A 4,483-nucleotide genomic window follows, 5' to 3' on the forward strand; every position below is an offset into this window, starting at 1 on the left:
CCTGCTTGCTTCCTTTCCTCCAGGTACATGAAGTATCTGTATGCCTATGAGTGTGAGAAGAAAGCCTTGAGTTCCCCAGCCGAGCTCCAGGCAGCAATTGATGGCAACCGCAGGGAGGGCCGGCGGCCCAGCTACAGCTCCTCCCTCTTTGGCTACTCACCTGCTGCGGCTACTGCTGCTGCCGCTGCCGGGGCCCCTGCCCTTCTCTCCCCACCCAAGATCCGCTTTCCCATCCTTGGGCTTGGCTCCAGCAGTGGTACCAATACCAGTAGCCCTCGGATATCCCCAGCAACCACTCTCAGGAAAGGTCAGCAGGGCTCCTGGGGGAGAAGGAAGAAAGGGAGGAAGGGATGCCAGTTCCCTGTGTTCAAGACTGGGGTTTTGGGGCAAGAGGGTCAATTGTGGATTGGTCCAGCTCCAGTTCCTTTGCAGGTGATGGAGCCCCAGTGACAACAGTGCCTGTGCCAAATCGTCTGGCTGTGCCCGTGACCTTGGCAAGCCAGCAGGCTGGTACTCGGACCGCCGCACTGGAGCAGCTGCGGGAGCGGCTGGAGTCAGGGGAGCCTGCTGAGAAGAAGGCATCGAGGCTGTCTGAGGAGGAGCAGCGCCTGGTGCAGCAGGCCTTCCAGCGCAACTTTTTCAGCATGGCACGGCAGCTCCCCATGAAGATCAGGATCAACGGCAGGGGTGAGCCAGGCTCAGGGCCGGGCCTTCCCTTCCTGGAAACCCCAAGCCCATTCACGCCTCCTGGGACTGGTGGGGCAGGGGTGGTGAGGCACATACTCCTGACCTGGAAGAGGCCCCTCCAGGTTCTGCCTTCCAGGCCCCTAGAAGAGAGGCACTGAGATCTTAGTTCACCAAGCTGAGGTTGTTTGGTAGAGGGGACCACATGTTGCCTCAGGCAGTGCCCTGTTCTCTAGTAAGAGGGAAAAGCAGTTATTCACAGAGGAGGAGCCAGAGGCCTTCAGAGAGCTGCTGCGTTTCCCCACCAGCCATTACCCCAGCACCTCACTGGATGTAGGCAAGAGCAGGGCACCGTCTGCAGGTCTGGGAGGAAGACACCCCATGTTCCTGAGGCTCAGCGAGGGGCCAAGTTGCCCCGGGCTGGACAGTGGGACTCAGGAATATAGACAGAAGGAGGAAACACAAGTTTGGCAGCATAATTGACATCCTTTCCCTTCCTCTTCACATTGTTCTGGTGCCCCACATTCTCTTCCTCAAGCCACACGCCCCTTTTCCCATTCACACACATTCTTTCCCATTCTGGTCCTGATGCTATCTCAAAGCAAACATGAATGAGATGTGTGGGAAGGAGCCAGGTGTGAAGGGAGCTATACATATTCCCAGGCTGCCCCTCCTACCCCATTGCCCTTGGGGACCAGAAGGAAACTGGGAGGTAACAGCTCATCCAGGGCCAGGTACCCTGCTCCTGCACAAAGCAAAGGGCTGTTAGAAAAGACAGCTCACCGGGAAGAATTCTGAGTCTGGGGTGAGCCAGCCAAAGGCCGTGTGTGCCAGCACTTGCAGGCTTCCACAAACGCCAGCTGCCTGGGTGGTCATGGAGGGGAGGGGCTGAGGGCGTAGACTCCTCTCTCTGAGGGACTCAGAGTCAAAGGAAAGAAAGGGCAGGTGGGTCCTCAAAGTTGGGGCTGGGTCTCATTGATCTCTGATTTCCTGGGCCTGGTGTATAGTGTAGTTCAGGGTTTGCCCGTCACTTGGAAAGTGCCAGTGCAGAGTGGTGGGGCCGGAGCCGGCCTCCTTGCCTACTGTGATTCCTTTTCTCTGGGAGCAGAGGTAGTTGAGGGGATGAACTGGGTCAGTGGAAAAAGCCAGCAACAGGAGATTGGCGAGCCTGGGATCTCCTGCCATACCCTACACTCAGGAGAAGGTTACATAGATGCCTTTTAACAGCGTGAGGCTTTGACCAGGGGTGGCCAGGCAGCATCAGAGAGGACAACAGGAGTGCTGTGGAAGGCTTGACCAGGCCCACTGTCTCCCTGTCCCCAGCAGAAGACAGAGCAGAGGCCTCGGCTGCAGCACTGAACCTGACCACGAGTAGCATTGGGAGCATTAACATGTCTGTGGACATCGATGGCACCACCTATGCAGGTGAGGCCCTGGAGCTCTGGGGGAGGCCCACGTGGCCGCAGCTAGCCACAGGGCAGCTCTGCGGCTGGCCCTGCCTCTTACCCTCTGTCTGAACACCTCCCACAGTGGCTTCCTTTTTCCTGGTCTCAGAGTTGCAAAGGTCAAGTGGTCCTCTGGACTAGTAGACTGTGGATTGTTAACAGGATGATAGGTCCCTCCCACTTTGGCAGAAACCCTTCACCTAACCCTTTTAGACCAGTGGTTGGCTCGTTAATTGAAGAAGTCAGTCAGTGTCCCACAATCCCCAGGTCTTCTCATGCACAGCCTTTCTCTGACTGTAATTCAGCTCTTCTCTTCCTTTTGCAGACTGAGACACAGGCAAAGGAACCCCAGTATAGGAGAATCAGCTTACATTGTTAAGCTCCCTGCCCCCCAGTCTTTTACAGTTATCTTTTCCTAAACCTAATTTGGCAACAGTGTTTTGTTGGTTGGTTGATTTCGCACCTTTACAGAGTCTTTCTAAGGGTTTAACTTAGTATTCATGACTGGGCACGGTGGCTGATGCCTGTAATCCTTGCACTTTGGGAGGCTGAGGCAAGAGGACCACTTGAGCCCAGGAGTTTGAGACCAGCCTGAGCAACATAGCAAAATCCCAAATCTACAAAATACAAAAAAAAATAGCCAGGCATGGTGGTGCACACCTGTGGTCCCAGCTACTTGGGAGGCTGAGGCCAGGAGGATCACTTGAGCCCAGGAGGTCGAGGCTGCAGTAAGCCGTGATTGTACCACTGCATTCCAGCCTGAGTGACAAAGCAAGACCTTGTCTCAATTAAAAAAAAAAAAAACAAAACTTAATATTCATAAAAACAGCAGTCCTTTTCCCATTCCCATTTCATTGGTTTACGGACGAGCTTGGGAACAAGCCCACCTGACTCTTGTTAAGCACAGCATTGCTGGGCGCGGTGGCTCACGCCTGTAATCCCAGCATTTTGGGAGGCCAAGGCGGGTGGATCACGAAGTCAGGATATCGAGACCATCCTGGCTAACACAGTGAAACCCCGTCTCTACTAAAAATACAAAAAGTTAGCCAGGCGTGGGGGCGGGTGCCTGTAGTCCCAGCTACTCGGGAGGCTGAGGCAGGAGAATGGCGTGAACCTGGGAGGCAGAGCTTGCAGTGAGCTGAGATCGCGCCACTGCACTCCAGCCTGGGCGACAGAGTGAGACTCCGTCTCAAAAAAAAAAAGCACAGTATTATGAGTGGGGGCCACCAGGCCTGGCCCAGGGCATCACCCACCTGTTTTACCAAGGGCCCAAGGGCATGCGGAGTGTCAGCCAGCCTGGCAAGGTGTCTCGTGGAGACAGGCGAAAGCCCTACAACTGCACCTTCTATCACAACTGGGAGTGTTTCCTCAGGGCCTACTCCCATTCTAAGGGCCACACTCCCTCAGAGCACCGCCCTGCAGGCCTCCTGGGAGCATGCTCTGGATCTCTGCTGGGCCACTCACTTCAGAGAGAGGACAGAGTGTAGAGGAGCAGTGGTGCCAAGTGGGCTCACCAGTCATGCTATGTCTGCAGACTCTGCTCAGAGGTCTCTACCTGTCACAGGAGGCCCCTGGAGGAGGTGGGGCCTGGTGCCCTTTGCCTCTTCATTGTGCTGTGGTTTGGGAGGGTTGGGGGTTGGAATTAGGTCCATGGAGAAAGCAGGGAAGTAGGAATTCAAGGCCTGGATCTTGATATCCTTTTGTCCTCTGTCAAGGAGAAAGGAGAAGGTAACTCCTTCCCTCTCAGAATGAGGAAGGGTCAGAAGTTGAAGGCTCCTCAAACCCCTGACAAGAAGGGAGCCAGTCACCCACCCCACCTGGCTCTGTCACCCAGGCTGGAGTGCATTGGTGCGGTCATAGCTCACTGCAGCTTCAACCTCCTGGGCTCAAGTGATCCTCCTGCCTCAGCCCCCTGAGTAGCTGGGACTACCCATGCCCAGCTAATTTTAAAAAAAATTTTTATAGAGACAAGGCTCTTGCTGTATTGCCCAGTCTGGTCTCAAACTCCTGGCCTTGAGCTATTCTCCTGCCTCACCCTCCCAAAGTGCTGGGATTATAGTTGTGAGCCACCACACCTGGCCTTGGTGTTCCTCTTTGTGTACCCTGGGTACACCTTGTCTCAGAGCATTTATGACATTTTAGCAAAATTACTCTGTCGACCTATCTGTCCCCCTCCCCAGCCCATCAGCACTTCAAGGCAGGACAGCATTTGGATCTTCTCCCATCACCCCCTAGCACAGTGTCTACAGCGGAGTCAGGCACAGGCTAGGCCAGCGGTGAATACTTACTGAAAGGAGCTGGCCCTCCCCTTCGCTCTTCCTCTGCCCACACTTGCTTCTCTTCCACCCACCAAG

General features: G+C 55.1%; 1 protein-coding gene across 4 annotated transcripts in view, besides 1 other annotated feature; it reads left to right on the plus strand.

Moving 5' to 3' along the window:
* The window catches only part of ARID3B (AT-rich interaction domain 3B), a 56,912-nt gene that overhangs the window by 49,908 nt on the left and 2,521 nt on the right, over nucleotides 1-4,483 (plus strand). For 2 of the 4 annotated variants that reach the window (XR_007064418.1, NM_001307939.2), the window contains 3 exons: nucleotides 24-307; nucleotides 433-687; nucleotides 2,008-2,109. Coding sequence is in view for 2 of the 4 variants with exons in the window: in NM_001307939.2 (NP_001294868.1) it covers nucleotides 24-307; nucleotides 433-687; nucleotides 2,008-2,109 (641 nt within the window). In the remaining 2 variants the exon portion in view is untranslated. The remainder of the gene's footprint in view (nucleotides 1-23; nucleotides 308-432; nucleotides 688-2,007; nucleotides 2,110-4,483) is intronic. The other 2 variants (XR_007064419.1, NM_006465.4) reach the window with 1 other exon arrangement.
* Nucleotides 3,389-3,889: an enhancer, noted in NCBI's record as "H3K4me1 hESC enhancer chr15:74886857-74887357 (GRCh37/hg19 assembly coordinates)". NCBI's record gives its function as "activates a minimal SCP1, AML or CMV promoter by ChIP-STARR-seq in primed H9 embryonic stem cells {active_cell/tissue: H9 hESC(primed)}" and the evidence as "EXISTENCE:reporter gene assay evidence [ECO:0000049][PMID:30033119]".

This window comes from Homo sapiens, chromosome 15 (assembly GCF_000001405.40).
Source record: "Homo sapiens chromosome 15, GRCh38.p14 Primary Assembly".
NCBI lineage: Eukaryota > Metazoa > Chordata > Mammalia > Primates > Hominidae > Homo > Homo sapiens.